The sequence below is a fragment of the Homo sapiens genome, chromosome 2 (assembly GCF_000001405.40).
Source record: "Homo sapiens chromosome 2, GRCh38.p14 Primary Assembly".
NCBI classification, from domain to species: domain Eukaryota; kingdom Metazoa; phylum Chordata; class Mammalia; order Primates; family Hominidae; genus Homo; species Homo sapiens.
Genome location: NC_000002.12, coordinates 26625495 through 26648894, shown reverse-complemented (window position 1 = coordinate 26648894; position 23400 = coordinate 26625495). Strand labels below are relative to the sequence as shown.

Here is a 23400-nt window from a genome sequence, read left to right as displayed (position 1 = left end):
CCTCCCAAAATGCTGGGATTACAGGCGTGAGTCACTGCGCCCAGCCTGAAACCAGGGCTTTTGAGAGCTGACACCAGAGCAGGAATAAGGGGCTGGGGAGAGAGAGGTGGGAAAGAGGAGAAGCCCAGGTGGGCGTCCAGGTGTGTCTAGGTCACCTCCAGGTGTCTAAAGGCCTTGACTCCACCAGAACGTGCTGAGAAGCCACAGAACCCCTCCAGAGCTGTCACCCAGAAGTACAGGTGAGGGAGCTTCTCTACCAGCTCCCAGCCCCACTGGTTGAAGGTCAGTGTTGCTCTGAACTGCGGGGTGGTGTGTAACTATAGCCTGAGGGGTCTACTTGATACAGAAGGTTCTGAGGCAGAAAATGAGGCCTTACAAGGCCTTGAGGCAACACCGGATCAGTGAGGGAAGAACTAGGTTCACAGGAACCTGTCCATGTAGCAGCACCTGAAATCAGGTGTCGCCTGGAGCATCAGGGCATCTAATGCAAATTGCAAAAGGGCAGGATGACTGCTGTCCAACCCTGCCCAAGAACCAGTGCTGGGATTTCCTCCCACACCCCCATCAACCCTCTGCTCTCTGAATGTCAAGGCCCCTCACCCGCTTTTCTGGGGAGCTTTTTGGTGTCTTGTGTCATTGGAAATGGAGGATGCCTCTCTACCGGGGCAATTCAGATGGGGCTCAGCAAAGCCTTGGGATACAAGCAACTGTCACTCTGCTGGGCAGTCCCTGAGGACTGGATGCTGTGATGGGTGCCCTGCCCCACAATGAGGCAGTGCTGGTCCATGTGGCTCCTCCCCCTCCTCCCCTGGGCAGTGAGTAGTTCTCCCAGGGTTGGCAATGGTGATGCTCTTGGTACCGTCTGGAGACCCTCACTCAGGCTCCCTGGTGACATGGTGCTTCCTCCCTGTCTTCCTCATCTGTCCTTTTATTAACTTTAGACTCTGCTTCCCTCACCTTCCCCCCGATTCTTAAATATCTGATTTGTTAGTAAAAAAGGAGCATAGGCTGCTTCTAGCTTTTTCCCTCACACTCTAACAATTCTGCTTTTCCCCCAGGCAATGTGAATGGGAGACTGAAGAAAAAAAAATGTCTCTCATGAGAAGATGGGGGAAAGAACACGAAGATTTAAATTTCAAGATATTGTTGCCACCTTCTCCACACTGCTGTGGGAGTCCATGGCATCCCGTTTGACCCTAGGAAATGTACCTGGTGGGCTCTCCATCCTGGCCAGGACTTTGACAGGCCACTGCACTCTCAGGCCCTCTGCACCCCCTCCCTGGGGCATGTGGGAGCTTCTGGGTCCCTGCTTGGTGCCATCAGGCCAGGGAAGCCAGGCGCTCTGCCTCGGGCACTCCTGCCCTGCACCCTGCACCCTGCACCCTGCATCCAGCTGGAAGTGGATAAGAGCATGAGGCAGGCTTCTAGAGATGTGCAGGCTCCCAAGACCCCTGCCCAGGGAGCTCAGGGATGTTCCTAAGCAGCCCCGCCCCATCCACCCCATCCCTGGATAGCTAGTGCAGGGCAGTCTCACTTCCTCACTGCCTTCTTCAGCTCCTCTCTCCCCAAGACCAGCAGGGCAGCCCTGCCATCCTTTTTCTTCCTGTCTACTCAGGAGGCCCCCATAGAAATCAGGATCTGCTCCCCGAGGCCTGCTTCTTGCCACACAAAAGGAATTTAGAAAATCTTCCCTCCAGACAGAGCATAGCTTTTCAGCCTGCTTGTTTGCTGGAAACTCAAACAAAAGTCTAACTGATGTTGGGAGCCGGGGAGCGACTTGCCTCAACAGGATCCACCTTTGTCCCCAGCATGGGACTACTGCAGTGGAGGAGCCCCCTGGGCTGCAAGACTCAGGCTGAGGAAATAGATTTGAAATAGTTTCAAATATATCCTCCCATGTACACATTCCTTTAATTATACTTATGGTGAGGCACTGAGTTAGGACTTAACCCCTTGACATGTAAAAAATAGCTTTATTAAGATATAATTGACATATCATACAATTCACTTTTTAAAATCATGCAACACAATGGTTTTTAGTATATTCACAGCTGTACAACCATCACCGTCATCTAAGATCAGAATATTTTCACCTCCCTAGAAAGAAACTCCATGCCCATAAGCAGTCACCCCTGAGTCCCCTCACCCCCCAGCTCCCAGCAGCTACCAATCTACTTTCTGTCTCTATGGATTTGTCTATTTTGGACATTTCCTATAAATAGAATCCCACCATACATAGTCCTTTGTGACTGACTTCTTTCGCTTCACATAATGTTTTTAATATTTATTCGTATTGTAGCGCGTATCAGTACTTCATTTCTTTTTATTGCCAAATAATACCCTACTGTATGGATATACTGCATTTCATTTAATCAGTAGATGGACATTTGGGCTGTTTCCACTTTGGGGCTATTATGAATAATGCTGCTATGAAGACTCGTGTGAAGTTTTTGTGTGGACATTGTTTCCATGTCTCTTGAGGACATACTTGGGCGTGGAGTTGCTGGGTCCTACAGCAACTGCTTAAAGCTGCAAGGAGCTGCCAAATTCTTTCCCAAAGCGGCTGCACCATCTGACATTCCCACCAGCAATGTATGAGGGTTTCGATTTCTCTGTATCTTCATCAGCACTTATTACTTGTTTTTTTTTTTTTTTTTCCTGTTGTTGTTTTGAGACAAGGTCTTGCTCTGTTGCCCAGGCTGGAGTGCAGTGGCACAATCTCAGCTCACTGCAACCTTTGCCTCCCGGGCTCAAGCGATCCTACCACCTCAGCCTCCCGAGTAGCTGGAGCTACAGGTGCGTGCCACCATGCCAGGGTACTCTTTGTATTTTTTGTAGAGACAGGGTTTCACTATGTTGCCCAGGCTGGTTTTGAACTCCTGGGCTCAAGAGACCCGCCCGTCTCAGCCTCCCAAAGTACTGGGATTACAGACATAAGCTGCCACGCCCGGCGCTTATTACTTGTTCTTTTGATTTTGACCATGCTGGTGGGTGTGAAGAGGTATCTCACTGTGCTTTTGATCTGCGTCTCCCTGATGGCTACTGATGTTGAGCTTCTTTTTATATGCTCATTGGCCATTTATGTATCTTCTTACATGTCTATTCAAATCTTTTGCCCATTTTTAAGTTGGCTTATTTGGCCTTTTATTGTTGAATTGTGAGAATTTTTTATATATTCTGAATGCAAGTTTCTTTTCAACTCTTCTCGAATTCTAAGAGACACCTAAATCAGGGTCGGAGCCGGGGTTGTAGTTTTACCGGTCTGTAAAACTGTAAGTTGCAAGGTGACAGAAACCTTGCAAAGAATACATTCTGTTCCACACAGAGGGTTCCTGCAGAGGTGGATCCTGGAGGAGAAGGATGTAGAACTGCCCTTCCCCAGAACCTCCTCCCTCCTCAATTATACCCCTTTCAAAATCTCTGCTGAAGAGGAGTTTAAGGGATGTAATGGGCTGGAGATGGATAGAGAGGCAGGTTGGTTAGTGTATCAAAGGCAGAATCATATGGAGGGAGGATTTCTCTCTCTTTTTTAAAGAACACTAGCTTTTATTTCTGGGACAAATGAGATGGTACATAAAAAAGCATTTTGAAATTATAAAGGAATATGCAAATGTAAAGTGATATTCTTATTGTTAGTATTGTTATTGTAGGAACCAATGAAAACCCTCTCTGTGATGAAATGACAGAGCCTGCGGGGGTGCAGGGAAGGCAGGGGTTGGGGAGTTAGGGGGATGAAAGATCAAGGAGAGAGAAGGGTAGCAGAGTTTGCAAACCTTGGGGTCTGTGTGTGAGTGAGAGAGAGAGAGAGACTGAGAGAGAGAAAAAGAGACACAGAGAGAGAGATTCATGATTTCTGGCATATTTCTTTACCACCTGTATAATTATTTACTTAATATTTTTGAATAGGTTCCTATTTCTTTTAATTAAACAGATATGTTTATAGAGGAAACTTTAGATCACAGTAATAAATGGCAAACCTGCATCATTTTCAATATGGAAGATACCTTTATATAAACAAATATAATGAAAACCAGTGTTATTAAATTCTCGCTGGATCCCGTGGTCATCTGGGTCTGTGCAACTGGCCCTGATTTCTTAGCCTGGTTCACTCGTCCCCGTCACTCAGGTCTCTGCTCCGGTGCTTCCATGACCACCAGCACCTCCATCGTCACACCCTCTCTCCCCCGCTCCCTGCTTTCCTTCTTCCGCAGCACGTATGGCTGTCTAAGGGATGTGGGTGCACATATGCGCGTCTGGATCTGTGAGGGCAGGACATCATCTGTCTCATTCACCTCTGTCTGCACTACCTCGCTCAATGAATAGTGGTTGAGTCAGTAGCTTAAAGCTCTGGGCTCCAGGGCAGCTCTCTCTTTTGTTTTTGTTTTCTTTTTGGCAAGTGTCAGCCAGGTGTCAAAGTCACAACCAGCCAGTGCCAAGCTGCCACTTGCACCTCGATGTGATGAGGAGCACTGAGGCTGGAGAAGGAAGTGGCTTTCTGGGTGTGATCCTGCAGATCATCTGGCTTCCCCAAGTTTCCTGCCCCATGCTTTGGGAATCCACAGACCCACATCTTGTCCACTTATCAGCTGACTGACCCAAGAGCGTCACTTCACCTCACCAGCCTCCGCCTTCCCTAGAGCAAAGAAGCAAGGACACCCTACTGCCCTCAATGAGCTGCTTGAGCCTGAATGTAGACAGTTTACATGCACACACCTGGCAGATAGAAGCTGCTTAATCAACGATGGTAGAAGCTCAAAGGGGTTAGCAGAAGATGGGGTTTGACCACTGGCTTAGCCTGCAAAAGTCCTACCCTTCCTTCCAGGCCTAACTCTTTTTTTTTTTTTTTGAGGTGGAATTTCACTCTTGTTGCCCAGGCTGGAGTGCAATGGCAAGATCTTGGCTCACTGCATCCTCTGCCTCCTGGGTTCAAGAGATTCTCCTGTCTCAGCCTCCTGAGTAGCTGGGATTACAGGTGCATGCCATCATGCCCGGCTAATTTTTGTATTTTTAGTAGAGATGGGGCTTCATCATATTGATCAGTCTGGTCTCGAACTCTTGACCTCAGGTGATCTGCCTGCCTCGGCCTCCAAAAGTGCTGGGATTACAGGCATGAGCCACCATGCCCGGCCCAGGCCCAACTTTTAAAAGTAGTAATATAATTTACCCTTATTTTTGTTTGTTTTGAAACAGGGTCTCACTCTGTCACCCAGGCTGGAGTACAGAGGCACGATCTTGGCTCACTGCAACCTCCACCTCCTGGGTTCAAGCGATTCTCATACCTCAACCTCCCCAGTAGCTGGGACTACAGACACACGCCACCACACCTGGCTAATTTTTGTATTTTTAGTAGAGATGGGATTTCGCCATGTTAGCCAGGCTGGTAATTTACCCTTTATTGAGAACTCAATACATAGCAGGTATCTTGCTAAATAAGAGCTTCACATACACCCATCATTTTATTTTATGCCTGCAATACTTATGAAGTAGGGATTTATCATTCCCCTTTTACAGATGAGGAAACTGAGGCTTACAGTATTTTATGACTTGCTTGAGGTGATGCAGTAAGAAGAGATGCTGCCAGGCCTTTCAGATTTCAGAGCCCATGTTCTTAACCACCGCATGATAACAGCAACTTAAATGCCACCACCTACATGAAAGCTTGGTGCCCAGCAAGCCTTTCCTCTTCTAAACACTCGTAACTCTGTACTCTTCCCCGTCTGTGACATCTGCCTCCATCTGCTTTAGTGTGTGTATATATGTGTGTGTGTGTATGTGTGTGTGTGTGGTGAGCACACATTTCTTTTTTTTTTTTTTTTTTCTTACTCCCTTAAAAGAGCATGAAGAGCATACGTTCCTTGAGGGTTGAAGTCATGTTCAGTCCTCTCTCTCCCAGGGTCAAGCCAAGTCCCTGGCACACTGTGGATATTCTACCTGTGTCTGGTGAGCAGATGAAGGAATGAGGGCCCCGGGTTTCCTTCTGCCAGGCTCTATCCCCATGGAGGACAGTCAAAGAAAAAGCAGGCAGTTGCACTTCAGAGATATAAATAAGCGTCATCAGAGAATCACTGGGATGTTTACTCAGGAGAGCATAGGGAAGATGTGTTCTAGAACAAGGAGACCAGCCTTTCATGACAAAGGTGGGTGTGCAGACCCTCCTGGAGGCAGGGGAGGGAGTGATGGCTTCTGGAAGGCCCTCCTGGCCTGTGATGTTGATGCCTGTGCTGGACGTTGTCTCTGTCTGCCCATCCTGCTCCGCCCTGTTCTCTTCCCTGTAGGAGATCACAGAAAGAGGAGAGAGTGGGGCTGGGGTGGTGCTTCCAGGTGGGTGGTGCTGGGTCGGGTAGCAGCTCTTTGTTGTTGGGCTCAGGAGTCTGTGTTATCCAGTTATCCATGTGACTTCCCTACACCCTGAACACATCTTTGTGGAGAGTCCTTTTTTTAGACCCTTTTCACATGATCCTGATTTGATGGTGCCCTTTGTTCCTGCAGAGACCCTGACTGATGGGGTGGAACGCCCTTTTCTGTACTTTTTGGGCCACTCCCTGAGGTTGGATCTATGCTGATATATTTCGGCATCCCCATGCCTGGCATAGTCCTGGGGTTGTGGTTCCTTGTTTATTTTTTATTTTGATTTGTTAGAGACAAGGTCTTGCTCTGTCACCCAGGCTGAAGTGCAGTGGTATGATCATCGCTCACTGCAGCCATGAACTCCTGGGCTCAAACGATCCTCCTGCCTCAGCCTCCTGAGTAGCTGGGACTACAGGTGTGCTGGTGTGCACCTCTGCACCCAGCAGGTTGTAGGGTTTTTTTGTTTTTTTGAGACAGGGTCCTAGGCTGGAGTGCAGTGGTGCGATCTTGGCTCTCTGCAACCTCTACCTCCCAGGTTCAAGCGATTCTCCCATCGTAGCCTCTGGAGTCACTGGGACTACAGGTCATGCCACCATGCCAGCTAATTTTTGTATTTTTTGGTAGAGACAGGGTTTCTGCATGTTGGCCAGGCTGGTAGCAAACGCCTCACCTCAAGTGATCCACCAGACTTGGCCTCCCAAAGTATTGGGATTAGAGGCGTGAGCCACCATGCCCAGCTAGGTTGTGGTTCAAATAGCTAGCATTTATTGAGCACTTACTATGTGCCTGACATTATTCCCTGTATTCGTCAATCCTCACAACAATCCCATGATTATCATCCCCACTTACAGATGAGGAAACTAAGACACACAGATATTGAAGAGCTTGTCCCAGGTTACAATGGGGTGGATCTGGGATTGGAGCCCAGGCACTGTGACTCCTGAGCTGACAGTGTGACTCTCAGCCCCATCTTTGGACTGCCTTTCTGCTTGTTGTATGGGACTGATGCCTCTTAGCTTTGGGATTGAAAATAATTTGCTTCTTTGCTAACTCAGCAACTCAGGTGGAATGGGAATGAAAAGAATTTGTTTCTTTGCCAACTCAGTAACTCAGGTGGAATGGGCAGAAGGTGGAATGTAGGTCACCATGGCAACTGGATCAACGAGGTGCCTCAGCTGGCGAGTCCTTGAGGCTGAGGTTCTACTGCTGGCAGACAGAAAGGTGTGGTTGGCATGGGGCAATGCTTGAGGTATCAGATGCACTGGGAGGACCTGGAAGAGTACCAGGTGGGTAGATCGGGCTAGGGACTCTGGGCAGAGGTGGGAGCTTCCTAAAGCAGGTGGAATGAATGGGAAAATTCCTTCCTGACGCTCTAGCAGGGGTGTCCAATTTTTGGCTTCCCTGGGCCACATTGGAAGAAGAATTGTCTTGGGCCACACATAAAATACACTAACACTAATGCTTGCTGATGAGCTAATAAAAAAAAATCACGAAAAAATCTGATAATGTTTTAAGAAAGTTTACAAATATGTGTTGGGACCCCATTCAAAGCTGTCCTGGGCTGCATGTGGCCTGCAGGCCGTGGGTTGGACAAGCTTGCTCTAGAGTTTACCAGGCGGGGTAGCGGTGGTCCCTCTCTTTGCTAAATCTGCATCCATGTGGCCCAGATGAGATCTCTAAGGTTACCTTCCTCCATCTGTCTCCTGCACCAGAGCCCAGAGTTTCACTCTTGTCTCTGATCTGCTCTCCACATCTGTGCCAATGCCCTCCTTCCCAGGGCTGTAAGAGACTAGGGGGTAAGAAAGAGCACCATTTCCTCTCCTGCTGCCACCTCAGGCATCCACCTCAACCTGGGGTTCCCCCAGCTGTGCAGCAAAAGAATGGGCATTTCCTCCCCAGCCTCTGAATTGCGCCACTCCCCAGGGGCCACAGCAGGGATGAATGGAGTGGACACGTCGCTTCTCTGTGATTTGTTGCAGGCCCTGACCTTCCTGACCAGAAATGAAATTCTGTGGTGAGTAGAAGCCCCGCCCCTCTTTCCTTCTCCCAGCTCCTCCCTCTGAGCTGGATTCTTGCCCTAATACAGCCTCACGCTGGTCCCTGAGTGTGGTCCCTGCTCAGAGCCACACAGCCCTGGAGATGGGGCTGGGACACGGCAGGCAGGGATGGGAGGGCCCAGGGGCCACGATCCGCAGAGCCCCACTGGAGCTGAATGAGACACCAGGCTTTAGGCTGCTAACCTTTTACTGGGATCCAAAGTGAGGTTTCTTCAGAGGATCATGGAGCTGGACAGAACCTCTTTGGAATAATGAGGAGAACAAGGAAAGGACTTGGGGAACTTATGTCTGAAGCCCATTTTGGCTGTCCACTGGCTGGGTAAACTTGGATGCATGACTGAAGCCCAGACTTCCCTCTCCACCTCCCTCCCTCCCTCCCTCCCTCCCTGCCCTTTCTCCGGTGCCTGTGATGTGCTGGCCTCGTGGAGGCCCTGAGGGTGGGGTGGTGAGCAGCCCCGCTCCCTGTTGTCATGCGGACCGCTGTCCAGTGGGGAAGAAACTTCATTCAACGTGGAGGTGGCCAAATACCCTTCTCGTGGGGCTGTGGGGGAGAGTGAATAGTGTGAGAGGTGTGTGTGTGTTTGTGTGTTTGGGCCAAGCCAGGTGCCCAACAAAACCTGTTAGATGAATAAAGGAGCTCACCAAGACACTTTCAGGGGAAGGTGGGGGAAGGTTCCCTCTCATCATCTTTGCTTGGACTAACCCTCCCCAGTCACCACACGGAAGCCACATTTCCCACTCAGGGTCTGGTGGTGGCAGGTAACAACTTTGTCACAAGTGCAAGACTCTCCAGGCACAAATGAGGATGGGGGATGGCCAGGGCACGGGGAGCTAACCAGGGGCTGTCACCCAGTGACATTGTTTCCCTTTTGAAAATAATATTCACTCACTTTTTTAAATATAGAAAAATATGACATAACTCCAAATGACCCATATCCTACTACCCATATAACCTCTATTGAAATTTTCTGAAAAGTATCACATGAATAAAAATAAAATGAAATCTAAAAAAAAATGCTACCTGGCTAGAAAATTCAAAATTCAAATAATGGTTCTCAGTCATAAGTGGGAGTTGAACAATGAGAACACATGGACACAGGGAGGGGAACATCACACACTGGGGCCTGTTGGGGGGTGGGGGTCTAGGGGAGGGATAGCATGAAGAGAAATATCTAATGTAGATGACAGGTTGATGGGTGCAGCAAACCACCATGACATGTGTATACCTATGTAACAAACCTGCATGTTCTGCACATGTATCCCAGAACTTAAAATATAATTTAAAAAAAAAAAAAGAAAATTCAAATAGTGTAAAAGTTCTAAGTGAAAAGAAAATGTCTCCATTCTCTCCTCCCAGTCCTTTTCCCTCAAGGCCGCCTCTGCTCACTGTTGGTTTGTCTTACCATCTAGCCTTCTGGAAGAATTTTCCATACATAAGCCAACACATTTATCCTCCTTTTACCCCATTCACATGGTTGCATTTATCCCTTCATACTGTTCTGTACCTTTTTTTTTTTTAAGCTTTTGGGGTTTTTTTTGAGACAGAGTCTTGCTCTGTCTCCCAGGCTAGAGTGCAGTGGTGCAATCTTGGCTCACTGCAACCTGTGCCTCCCTGGTTTAAATAATTCTCTTGCCTCAGCCTCCTGAGTAGCTGGGACTACAGGTGCCTGCCACCACGCCCGGCAAATTTTTGTATTTCTGTAGAGATAGGGTTTCACCATGTTGGCCAGGCTGTTCTCAAACTCCTGACCTCCAGTGATCCTCCCACCTTGGCATCCCAAAGTGCTGGGATTACAGGGGTGAGCCACTGCACCCGGCCTACATTTTAGAACTTCGATGGGTGAGACAATGTTGTCCTTCAAAGGAGTTGCACCAGTTTGTACTCTCAGCAAGGGGGCATGGCCATGCCTGCCCCTCTTTCTAACCCAGGGGCTTCAAATGGCATTCATGGATCCACCCCTGGGGTTCCTCCTATATGCCAGGAGAGAGCATGGGGTGGTGGACGAGAGGAGTGAGAGGAGTATGGGAAGGGTTCAGGCTCTCTCTCGAACATCGATCCTCCATTTTCATTTGTTCTGCCTTGGCCTTCGGAGAAAGAGTTCCTTGGAAGCGAGCCATGCTTATGGACGCCTCCCTTCTGAACCTCCCACCCAGGACCTGAGACGACCTCCTCCCAGATCCTGTTTCCAGTCTGTTTCCATCCCTGTGGAAGGTGCCTTTCCCCGGAGAAGAGCACAGTTTGGCTCCGCGTTGTGTTGGGGAGGTGGGTCCCTGTGAGTGCTGCCAGGGAAGGCTCCAGTTCACAGTTCACGGTTCATGGTTCAGTGCAAACTTCTCTAACAAGCAGTTCTTAAAGCTCTTTCTGTCCTGCCCCTTCTCTTGAGAGACCCATTCCTGAGCATGAAGGGCCTGTGCCTGCCCCTGGGTAGCTCCTGCTCAGGAGGCTCCCACTCTCAAAGGCCGGCGTGCGTCAGCGCTGGGGGTGGTGGGGTTGGGGACGCCACTGCATAAGGAAGGCAGAGTAGAGGGCAAAGTATCCAACTCCTATTACTTGGACACCTTCAGATAAGACAGAGTGAGAAGCACTAGTGGGGCCAGGGACAGCAGTGCAGAAACTCTCAAATGGGAAGGTGATACCAGTGAGAGCCCTCTGCTGCTTTAAACCAAGGGGAGTCTCCAGACCCAGGAGACCACAGCCTGGGAAGCAGCTGAGAATGTGGAATAGCTGTCAAGAGCTTTGAAGAGTGGAAGAGGACCAGCGAAGGCAGGAGATGCTGAAATGTCCCAGTTCAAAATGAGAAGTACACCTTGACCCAGCCATTCCACTTGCATGAAGAGGACACAGGTGAAGTAAGTGCTGATTCATCCCTCTGTGGAAGACTGCCCTTAGAGAGGAGGGGAAGAGCTTTCTGTTTGATATAGAGCCATCTCCAAGGTATATTATTAAGTTAAGAAAGCAAAGTTCAGGGGGCTTCCAGTTACGTGGAGAATAGAGCATTTTCTTTGACCTCTGTTTACTAAAAGGAGAGTAAAGGAATTAAAAAAAACAAAAAGAAGAAGAAAGAAACCCATAAGGACAAAGAGAACACAAGCAATGACAGCAGATGAGAGAGGTCAACAAAAATTTTACAAGTGCAAAGCAGATAGACCCATGACGCAGACTTAGCTGAATAGAAAGTTGAAAGAATTTTGCCTGCAGGGGTTGGATGATGGAATCGAGAACGCAGAAAGGCTCAGGAACCTCCAAATGCCAGGATGCAGGATCAGGTGAAAACAGAAAGGCAGATTGAAAGTCTTATGTGATTCCTTCTCTCTCCCTCTGCAATCCACAATCAACTTGGCACCCCTGCCCTGCCCCAGCGGAAGACAGGAGCTAACCATCTGGGGAGAGCTGGAGCCAGACAGGCCCCTGACTCAGGGCCACCAGCATGATGAAGAGCAGGGTGAGCTTCTGGTCAGCATTTTAGAGCCTCCCTGTAAGTAGAAATCGAAAGCTAAGGGACACCAGGTATTTGAGGAAAGAATAAAAAACGGCCTACACACACTAAGTCATGCCATCATGACATTTCAGACTGGCAGAGATGATGAGAAGATCCTGAGTGCTTCCACGGAGAGCAAAACAGACTACAGAGAATCAGGAATGAGAATAGCTTTGGACTTATGTTGGAAGACAGTGGCTAAACACATTCAAAATTCTAAGGAAAAAATTTCAATCTAGAAATAAGTTCTAGCTAAGCCATTAATCAAGAGTCAGGGCAGGATAACAATACTTTTTGTCATGCAAATTAAAAAAATCATCTCTTATGGACCTTTTCATAGGAAGCTTTTGGGAGATGTGCTTCATTAAAACTAGCGAGTAAACCAAGAAAAAAGAAGACCCAGGATCGGGGAAACAAAGGCTTTCAACCTAGAGGCAAAACGAATTACAAGGAAGATAGTGAAGGGAAGCTGAAGGATGACAGCAGGACAGTCGGCCTGGAAAGCAATCAGTCCAGATTAGAATTAGGGAGTCAGGGGTTCCAAGAGTGGTGTCTCTAAGAGACAAAATGAATCTATCTAGATACCATATTGAGAGGTACTTATTTCTGCAGAAAGTTTGGAGATGAAATAAAGATAGGCACACAAAAACCAAGGCAAAAAACTGAAAGTGATTATTCATTCTGGGAAAAACAAAAAGACTTGCAGGAAAGAAGTAATCATGTTGCACTAGGGAACTCAGCTTGAGCAATGTTTGAATAATGCATATACGATATATAATATTATTATAAACACTGAATATTCATTCAGGAAAATTGTTTTATATTGGGAGGTTGGGGAAAGGAAAAGAAGTATATATAGAGAAATAAATCCTCTTTTTTTCTACTAAGAGGTCACAAGATAGTATCTATAGTGAAAACAACAGCAAAGGCAGTATTAGCACAGCATTTGGAAGTACCATGTAAATATTAAGCAAAAACAAAGTGAAATAGCAAAATGCTTGCAAACTGCTGCCTTTGGAGAGCAGGGTTAGAGAGGTGGTGTGGGGTATGGAGTATTTGTAACTTTGATTGTAAGCTTCACAGTATCACAGTACTATTTGCATTTTTAATCTATTTAACTGTATTACTTTGGCAAACAAGACCAGTACATACAGGCTGCTACTGCTCTTATGAAATAAAGGGCTGTTCATACATGCATACACAGAGGAGAATATCCCTGGAAGCAGACACAGAAACTGATAATAGGTTATCTTCTTGGTGGGGCCCTGGGGAGTGGAATATGTTAGGGTTGGTGTGGGCATGCTGTCTGTAAAGTGAGGGGACAGCTGTGATGTGGATGCCCAGCTTCTCTGGCTCAGGGAGCAGAAGGCATGTGATACTCACGGAGAAAGTGGCCATCCTGGGCTACCAAGGCCAAGTTGAGCCAGACGAAGCCCTGGTCACTTTTGAATGATTTTCCACTGTGGCCTCTGACAATGCCTTGTGATTTTCCTATTGGTGTCATAGAGAAATGTGGCCCAGATGGCAGTACAGTTGGATGGACTTAGCCAGTTAAAAAAGTATTCAAGAGACCGATAGGTAGAAGTAACCTTTGCAGGGAGGCTGGCTCTGTCCAATATTTTCCCACCTTTTAATCTGTGACTTGCATAAGGACACAAAGGCCTGGTCACCAGATCTGCAGATGACACCTCCTGGGGGCTGGTGGGGGGAGACCTCATGTTCTAGACTTGTCTTGGAGCCAGCACCTTCCCAGTCCAGGGCTGCTTTGGTTTGGCCCTCCAAGAAGAGGTCTGTTCACTCTAAGTTTCCAGCCTATGAGACTTTCCTTTCACATGTTTTTGATCTCAGCAAAAGCAAGGTCCCTTTCCGCCCTAGCATCGGGGCAGCATTGTCTGACTCTGTTTGAATTGGTTGTCCCAGAAGAAGCCTTTTCCCGAGATGCCTCTTCTGGGCCCAGGCCCTTCCGGCGGTGACTGCAGACCGTGCAGACCCTGCAGACCCAAAGAGGGCCCATGTGGCTTCCTGGGCAAGGCACAGCCTGACTCCAGCCCAGACCTCTATGTCTCAGGCGCAGGTCAGCCTGGCTCAGCCCGAGCTCTTCGGACTACTCTGCATTGCCTGGGATGGTTCCTGACACTCTCTTGGGTGGGGTGGGGTCTGGTTTAGGAGCCTGAAGCTTTGCTTCCAGCCTCTGCTCAGGCTGACCCAGCCATGGGGCCTTTCTTCCTAGAACCTCTGGAGGTTCCAACACTTTGTAGACTCCATGGCCCTGTCCTGGCCATTAACGGGCACCTCAAGGCCGCAGGTGGAGTGGTTACAGGTTTATTTCCTGGAAGCCAAAGACCTGGGTTTGAGGCTCAGCTCTGCCACTTAGTAGCTGTGCAAACACGGGGGAGTGTCTTACCCTCCCTGAGCATCAGTTTCCATCCTTATAAAATAGTTGAGGGAAATAGAACCTAATCTCACAAGGTTGTTATTAGGACAACCAGAAGATCAAATCTGTCATTGTTAGAGCAATACCTGGCACATGGGTCAGCACCGATTACGTGGCTGCTGTTACTATCATGGTATTATTATCCCTACTTTTTGCAAATGAGGAAATCAGCTCAAAGAAATGAAGTAATTTCCTCAAGCCCACACAGATTGCAAGTAGCAGATCAGGGAACTAAAAGCCACATTTTCAGGCTAAAGAAGGACCATTTAGAAAATATCTACTATCTGCAGGCAGTACTGTAGAGCAAAGGACTATTGACCCCGTGGGGTGGGGGTGAAGCCAGAAAGCTGGGACTTGAGGAGTGGGAATTCGGGTTTGTCATGTTCTTGATCTCTCTGGGGCAGTAGAAATACTGAGAAGCTTGTAGAACCTGTAGGTGCCTCGGGCTCTATCCTGGCCTTGAATGAGAACTTCAAGGGGTGGGGAGGGCAGATCCTTTTACAAACTCCCTACATGATTCTTACGTGGGACCCCGTTGAGAACTACTAAGCTAGAGGGTCTCAGAGGCAAGGGGGTAAATGGGATGCCAGAGAGAGGCACGAAAGACTAGAGTCATAGGATACCTAAACTGGAGGGAGCTGGGGGGATGCTGGGACTCTAATTTCACAGAAGGGAAACTGAGGCCCGAGAGGGGACTTGGCGAGTCCAAGGTCCCACGGACAGTCAGCAGCAGAGTGACCTCCACCCGTCTTAGGGCCAGCCCCTGAGCCCGCAGGCAGCCCCTCCTGCCTCTCTGGGCTGTGTGGAAGGGAGCCATGGCCCAGGCTGCTGGATTGCTGGCAGGCTGAATGTGTGAGTTTTTCAAATGGCTTTGACTTTTGAGTCCATTAGTGATTAATTCAGGGTTCCATTTAGAGCCAGCTGATCCATATTTGGAGGAGGAGAACATTTTATGGCAGCCGAGATGCAGCCACGATTCATCTATGGGCAGCCCGCCCACTCTGCAGCCTGGGAAGGCACCAACTCCAGGCAGGCACCCCACCAGCACCCTCCCCGAGAGGACTTTCCAGGGGGGTGACTCGAGTCTCTCACCTGGAAGAAGGGTGGGCCCTTTAGGGGTGGGCAGCACAGCCCGAAGAACTTGGTTTAGGGTTCAGCCCTCCACTCCGTCTCTTCCCAGCTGTATAACCTTAGATACAACACTTAAACTCTCGGAGCCTCAGTTTACCCATCTGTAGAAATGATGGCCCCTCCACTTCTCCCACAGAGAGTTGTTGGGAAAATTCAGTGAGATGATGTGTGTGAGTGCACCCGGCACAGAGGCTTTGTCATGAGAGGGTGGCAAGGGCTGGTGAGTTTCTTTTCTGCCCCTCAGCAGCCCCTGATGCCTCCTGGGGAACGAGCTTTGGTGTTTGTATCTCTGGCTTTAACATTTACCACTGTGTGACCTTAGGTAGATTATTTTACCTACTTGACTTTCAGTTTCCTCATCTGTAAAAGAAACAATGGTCCCTTCCTTGCAAGACTGGCATGAAACATGCAGAATGTCCGTGAGAGTTGGCTACACAGAGCAGGCACTCCCGGTGGTGCCCGTGGTGGGGGCAGGAGCCCGAGCTCACTTGTGCGTTGCCTTAGGGATTTAAAAAAAAACCAAAACATTAATTTTTGTTGAAAATTGCTCTTATTGAAAGTGGGTCTGTTCTTTATCACCTCAAGCCAGCAATTCTAACTATGACAGTGACAAAATGCTCCTTTTGACTGGAGCCGGCCACTCCCACTGCCCTTAACCCTTTCTTTCTTTTTCTTTTTTTTTTTTTTTGAGATGGAGTCTCACTCTGTCGCCCAAGCTGGCGTGCAATGGCGCAATCTCAGCTCACTGGAAGCTCTACCTCCCGAGTTCAAGCGATTCTCCTGCCTCAGCCTCTGGAGTAGCTAGGATTATGGATGCGCGCCACCATGCTGGGCTAATTTTTTATATTTTTGGTAGAGTTGGTGTTTCACCATGTTGGCCAGGCTGCTCTCGAACTCCTGACCTCCAGTGATCCGCCTGCCTCAGCCTCCCATAGTGCTGGGATTACAGGCAGGAGCCACTGCACCCGGCCTACCCCTCGCCCCTTGTAGGCCACTGGACACTTCAGCAGTGATGGCTTTTCTTCCTGCTTGTTGACCTGTGGTTCCCAGCATCCACCCCAGTACTTTCCTGGAGAATCTCTCCCCCAACCCGTTCCACACTCTGCTTTCTGCTCCCTCCCAAACGTGTGCAGTCTCTAGACCCTAGTGACAGCTCAGGCCCCTTCCGTGGCCAAGGCGGCAGTCATGGTGCTCTCCATGAACACCACACGCCACTCCAGCTCCCATCTGTCAGGCCCTAGCCTGGATCTGCACAATGCCACTGGAAGGAGGCTGGCTCTCCATCAGACAGAGTCAGGATATGAACCTGGGCCTGCGTGCTCAGAGAGGTCCGGCAGTTTGCCTTGGGTCTCGTAGCTAGAGGTAGAGAAATAGGATCCAGATAGATCCAGATAGGTCTGTGAGCAACCCGGCGGGAAGCAGGTGGCACACTCAGCAGGATCTTTGAAGGTGCTTTGCAGTGAAGGAACTGTTCAGAAGGAGGCCCAGGGAAGCACCCAGGGGCCAGCCCTGACTGCCCCAGGCCTGAGGTGATAGCTGAGAGCTGGAGCTGCAGAAGCTGGCTGCTAGCCTGAGACAGCGGGAACACAGACACTGCAGAGTCGTGTGGGGCTGGGAGGGAGAGGAGGATAAATCCCCACCCATCCCTCATACCTCCAGTCCTCCTGGAGCTTCCCTTAAGCCAGAGGGAAAGGGAGGTGGGAACACTGTCAGTAGAGATCAGCCTCCCAGGGCACAGAGTGCAGTGGGCACACAGAATCCCAGCATAGTTTCTTTCCACTCTCCCAGGGCTGGGAGCTGAAGGATGTTTTTCTAGTCAGTGAGATGTGAAACAGTGAGTGGCTGGCAGGGTGCGAGGCCTCCACCTACCATCGTCAGGGCTCTGGGAGAGCCTCCTGCTTCCTGCTCTACCTCTGAGTCTCCACTCCTAAAATCACCCTCCAAATTCTTCACCTAGTTTTTGTTGTTTATTGAGACGGGGTCTTGCTCTGTCGCCCAGGCTGGAGTGCAGTAGTGCGATCACAGCTCGCTGCAGCCTCAACCTCCTGGGATCCAGTGATCCTCCCACTTCAGCCTCCTGAATAGCTAGACTATAGGTGCGTGCCAGTATGCCTGGCTAATTTTCAATTTTTTTGTAGAAATGGGGTCTCCCTGTATTGCCTAGGGTGGTCTCAAACTCTTGGGCTCAAGCGATTCTCCCGCCTCAGCCTCCTGAAGGGCTGGGATTACTGGTATGAGCCGCCGCACCCGGTCTTCACTTAGTTACATGTCCCTAAATTCCACCAATCAGAGCCTCATTTGAGTCAACAAACCACATACCCTGGAATGTCAATAGGGGACTGTTAGTCACTCACTCCTGCATACAGACTCCTTTCATGGGATTGCTGGCCTCTCAGGAGAGTAGAGGTTTGATGGAAGACAGGAGAGGAACAGGAAAGGACTAAAGGAGGGAGGGGTAATTTTGGAGCATGGAGGGGACCATGAAGAGAGGGGAGAGCAGGTCTGGGTCAGGGTGGTGGGCTCCCACTCTCACAGTCTAGGTGTGGGTTGTGCACAGCCCAGGAGCACAGGGGCACCTGGAGTATAGGAGAGAAACACAGAGAGAGGGCAGGCTGGGTGTCCCCTCTGAGGCCCCGGGTAACACAAACACTCTTACCTACCAAACACTGCGCTGACGTTTCATACACCTCCCCTCATTTAATCCTCACGAGTGTGTGGGGGGAGATTTACTACCCCACTGCAAAGAGGAGCAGACTGAGGCTCAGGTGGATTCAGAACCTTGCTCGACGCCTCAGAACTATTAAGTGGCAGAGTCAGGATTTGAATGTAGATCTGTCCGGCTCTAGAGACAGTGTTTTCAACCAGCCTGTGGTGACCCCACCACCCGCCATCCACCATTTATACATAAACACACATACCCTTCAGCCTCCTTCACACTGAACCCCCGCCACAGCCCTCCAAGAGACATATCATTCTTGTCCCTTATCCAGATGATGAAACTAAAGTTCAGAAATGTCAAGTGAGTTGCCCGAGGTCACACAGCCCTGCCACAGCAGTTCAGGTTCTGGGATCCAGGCCTCCTGGGCCCCAGGGCACCACTGTCTCACCTCCACTGGCTGCCTTGGGTGCTGGACCTGTAGGCCTAAGAGCTTGCTGGTGGACAGGGACCCAGGTTCAGGATAGGGTGAGAGAGACAGGCAATGAGGGCTCATCCTCTCTTAGCCTGAGGCAGAGCTCCCTCCCGCCCTCTTACTCTCAGGGGTCACACGGCCATTTCACCCTCTGCCTGTAGCTTATAAGCAAAATCCTCTTGACTGGGATGGGATCCTATAGACAAGAGACATCGCTGACAGGGATGATTAGGAAGACCAGTCAGTCCACGATCTGCTGCAACCAAGTTTGCTGTCAAGTGGCCTAGCAAGGCTGGTGGTTTGCTGGCTGCAGGCAGCCGGGCTCTAATCCCGGCTCACTCAGACCCACGAAGTGACCTCTTTTCTTGGGTTGAGGATGGAAATTGGCAGATGGCCAGAGGTGGGGACCCTGGCTTCCCCAAGGTCCTACTGGCTTCCCCATCCGTAACCGAGGGACTGGACATAAGCCCCTTCAGTTCTGACATTCTATGATGAACCCTCGTAGAGTGTGCTGCTCGCTACAGGGCATATTCGCCTAACTTTCCTCTCACCTGGCTCATCTCTGCATCCTCTATGGTGTGCCTGGCACACTGGAGGGTCCAGGGATGTTTCTAGAAGACATATTTATTACTGCGCTTTATTATTATTGATTACTGCCTTTTCTGTGTCAGCCAACCCCAAGTCTCCTTCCTCAAAGAGACACCCCCACCCCTTGCAGCAGGAGACAGGCTTGCTGGCCTCCTTTCCCCGGCCACACAGTGCTGGCCTCCTTTCCCCGGCCACACGGTCTTCATGCCTCTCTTTTCAGCATCCATGACACCTTCCTGAAGCTCTGCCCTCCTGGGAAGTACTACAAGGAGGCAACGCTCACCATGGACCAGGTCAGCTCCCTGCCAGCTCTGCGGGTGAGTCCAGGATGGTGGGTGGGGCAAGGGCAGCATCAGTGGGACCTGCTGATGGGCTGATGGGTGCTGGGAGGGGTGGGGTGAGGTGGGCACTCCGTGCTGTGGGATGGTCACCTCACTCCAAGGGGCTCCTGATCCTCCAGGCAGAGGAGTGCAAGGACATGGCTCCCAAACACTTCCTGCATGCATCTGGCCTCCCTCCATCCTCACCTCGGTCCTAGAGCAGGACCCTGTGATAACAGTCACTACTTCTCAGGTGGGGCCAGGGGCAGATGGGGCATGAGACCTGCTCCAGGCCTTACCGTGGGAGGTGGCGGCCCCATCTGGAGGTGCTCACTGGCCCTGCTGCTCAGCCTCCGAGGCCAGCCTATGGGTCTTTAGATGGGCTTCAGCTTGCAGTCCACCCCACTCTGTTTGCTCATTCCTTACTTAACCCTCACCCCAGTGACCCCACACCAGCCAGTTTCCTCTGCTGTCTGTTGTGCCCCAAACTAGGGCAAGTGACCCTAGGCCAGGATCCCCTGCAGGACCATTAGGCCTTGAGGAAGCCAGGGTGCCACCCTAGCCATCGGCCCAGTCCCTCAGCCCTTCTCTTCTCCTCAGGCTGCCTCAATGGACTGGGGCTTTTCTAGAGGGACTGAGAATTTTCTCAGGTTCTTCTCTGAGAAGACAGGAGGAGCAGGGCTCGGGGCCCAGAGACTGTCCTCCCAACCTGCCTTTTTCCCAGCTCCAGGAGTGGCTGCAGGAAAGAAGGGTGCTTGCATTTCTGCTCTTGCAATCCTCTCTCTCCTCAACTCGCCCTCAATTCAGCCAGCGCTGCCTGGGCTGGAGGCTCCTGTTACACAGAAGGCTGGTTGAATGCTCATTCCCTCCCAGTTTCCACAACTTGTCCTGGGCTGAATCTCACCTTCCAACCACCTAGAACACACTCCCACCCCCCACAAACACACACCCTTGCTGTGGATGGGTCCTTGGCAAACCTTCCCTGGTCTTGGTTTCCTCACCTGTAAAATGGGTAGAGCAGTGGGGGGAGGCTGGGAGTGACCATGTGCACTCTAAGACTCCTGGCCCCACAGGCAGTGCTAGCCTGAGCTGTCCCTGCTCCCCCCACCTCCCAATCCTTTAGGGACAATTATCTGAGCCTTTATCCCTGTTATGAAGAGGCCCTGCCCTTCCCCCAGGGCAGCCTGGAAGAGCCTAGAGGCACACAATAAAGGACTCCAAAATCACTCCTGAGATTTTAATTAAAATTTGTGCATTGCATTGAGAGGAAATGTCACGTTAACAAATCATGGCTACGTCAGGCTTCTCTATTTTTCATTCGGTTCTTGGCAGAATAATGACTTCAGTTTGTCATTGTTCAATGAGAGCCCATCTTCGTTTCTGTTTGGAACGAACTGGGCTCTGAGAACTGTGGCCACCACTTGGAAGAGGCCTGGGGATACCAGGGAGGAGGAGGCTGGCTCCTGAGGAAGGGACATGGAGGGGGCACAGACATGTCATTCAAGCCACGGCTGCACGGCCCCTCCTAAGTGACAGGCCTATCTGTAGGGCAGACAGAGACAGAGGAAAATGCACAAAGCTGGGTCTTGAAATAGAGGCAGGAGTGGAGAAGACAAAATAATGAGAAAGGGTGAGGGGTGGGTAGGTGGGTGGGGGTAGCTGGGAGAAGCTGGGATTCTGGAGGGGAAAGAAATAGAAACCTCAGAAAGGTGAGTGAATCGGAGACTGTGACTGTGACAGAAACAAAATGGGGAGGCGGTCTTCCTGGCACCCCCCACTTCCTGGCCTCACCCTCATACAGTCACACCCCATGTGTACACGTGCATGGGCTCCACCACATGTGGGTGGGACTTCTCTCAAACCCAGGCCATCCACTAAGGGACCCGGGGTCAGGGCCAGCCAGACAGGCAGGGCTGATGGGAAGCTTCTGCCCTCCCCTGGGTGGGTGCAGGGTCACTGGTCAGTCCCAGACTCTCTGAATGCTACGACTGGAAAGAAACTTAGAGACCACCCAGTCTAGTCACTGTCAAATGCTCCTCACCCTGATTTTATTAATGGGGAAACTGAGGTCCCAAGAGGGAAACAACTTCCAAGGGGCCACATGATGGAAGAGTCTGGACTAGTTCCTGCTCTGGGGGAGTCAGCTTGAACTCTGGCCCAGGCAGAGCCTCCTATTCTAATCAAGGCTTGGCTGAGCAGTGACCATGTGCCTGGGTCTTCCAGGTGCCACAGAGGGCCCAAGGGGAGCCGAACTGGAGGGGTGGCATAGAGGGTGTTGGTGACCCATGGCCTCAACACATCCTTCTCCAGCAATAGCCTTGTCTCAGTAGGGCCTGGAGTCTCTGTTTGGCCCCCAAAGGAGTAAGCACTGGACTAAGATCAGGAGGGCTGAGTCTGGGCCTGGAGCTATCACACTCCTTGCATGTATATCCCCCCATCTATAAACCAATATGAACACCTTGTGCTGGGTAAGGGACCCGGTGGAGGTGAGCCATTGTCCTCTGCACTATCTTTTATGCTTCCCCTGTTCCTCTCTTCCATGTCATGGGTGAGGAGCCTGTTGGGGTTAGGGGTGGGGTGCAGCAAGGCTTGAGAAGACCTGGGATGGGGCAGGTGGGGTGAGGCCTGCTCTTCCCAGCAGATAGGCTAGGTGCACAGGCCGGGGCTGGGATGCTTCACCTTTTCTGGAGTCTCAGACCCCCTCTTCCCCCCGAACTTGCTCACTGGAGAGCAACTGGGAAGTGGAGTCTTGGCCACATGATTTTAATTTTACTTTTCTGATTTAATCTTAAATGGTCATGATTTTATTCTATTATACAAATAAGAGCCAGCTCATTGTAGAAAAACTAGAGAACACAGAAAAACAAAAAAAAGATTAAAATGATATATTAGTCTACCTCAAGGGATGACTGCCACAATCATTTTGGCTTATTTCCTTCCAGACTTTTTTTCTATGCAGATATATACATGTTGATTTGGATCCCATTGATTTTTTTTTTTTTTTTTGTATGTTGCTTTTTTTTTCTACTTGGGTTTCTTTCTTGCTTTTCCATCTGGTCTCTAACAGCCAGAACCGTCTTTTGAACTGAAGACCCTGAGCCATTGCCCCACCTAGAGAACTAGGGATAGGGCACCAGGCCAGGCATGAAAGAACTAGGTTTGGATTCACTTGCTAGCCACATGATCTTCGGCAAGTGACATCACAAGAGGAATGACTGGAGTGGGGAGAAGCAAAGGGGCAAATAGACTTCAGCTAACTATACTATAAGGCTACAGTAACCAAAACAGCATGGTAAAGGTACACAAACAGACATGTAGACCAATGGAACAGAATAAAGAACCCAGAAATAAGGCCACACACCTACAACCATCTGATCTTTGACACACAACAAAAATGAGCAATGGGGAAAGAATTCCCTATTCAATAAATGATGCTGGGAGAACTGGCTAGCCATATGCAGAAAATGTGAAACCAGATGCCTTCCTTATACCTTATACAAAAATTAACTCAAGATAGATTAAAGATTTAAATGTAAAACCCCAAACCATAAAAACCCTAGAAGAAAATGTAGTCAATGCCGTTTAGGGCATATGCATGGGCAGAGATTTCATGATGAAATTGCCAAAAGCAATTGCAACAAAAGCAAAAATTGACAAATGGGATCTAATTAAACTAAAGAGCTTCTGCACAGCAAACAAAACTGTCTGTGCAAGTCCGGGTGGGAAGCAGTGGGGGGGTGGAGCCTGTTTTCCACAGGTGGGCACAGTGGCTCACGCCTGTAATCCCAGCACTTTGGGAGGCCGAAGCGGGTGGATCACCTGAGGTTGGGAGTTCGAGACCAGCCTGATTAACATGGAAAAACCCCGTCTCTACTAAAAATACAAAATTAGCCGGGCATGGTGGCACATGCC

At 49.9% G+C, this 23400-nt stretch overlaps 1 protein-coding gene across 3 annotated transcripts in view, besides 1 other annotated feature; it reads left to right on the top strand.

Moving 5' to 3' along the window:
- Positions 1 to 7528: 7528 nt before the first annotated feature.
- Positions 7529 to 23400, top strand: part of CIB4 (calcium and integrin binding family member 4) — a 60162-nt gene continuing 44290 nt past the window's right edge. Inside the window, exons 1-3 of one of the 3 annotated variants that reach the window (NM_001029881.3) lie at positions 7529 to 7634; positions 8328 to 8362; positions 19389 to 19485. In NM_001029881.3, the coding sequence (NP_001025052.1) occupies positions 7581 to 7634; positions 8328 to 8362; positions 19389 to 19485 (186 nt within the window). In that variant the 5' untranslated portion in view covers positions 7529 to 7580. Of the gene's footprint in view, positions 7635 to 8271; positions 8363 to 10255; positions 11256 to 19388; positions 19486 to 23400 lie in introns of those variants that run through there. The other 2 variants (XM_011532514.3, XM_017003329.2) reach the window with 2 other exon arrangements.
- Positions 15165 to 15705: an enhancer, noted in NCBI's record as "H3K4me1 hESC enhancer chr2:26856058-26856598 (GRCh37/hg19 assembly coordinates)". NCBI's record gives its function as "activates a minimal SCP1, AML or CMV promoter by ChIP-STARR-seq in naive H9 embryonic stem cells {active_cell/tissue: H9 hESC(naive)}" and the evidence as "EXISTENCE:reporter gene assay evidence [ECO:0000049][PMID:30033119]".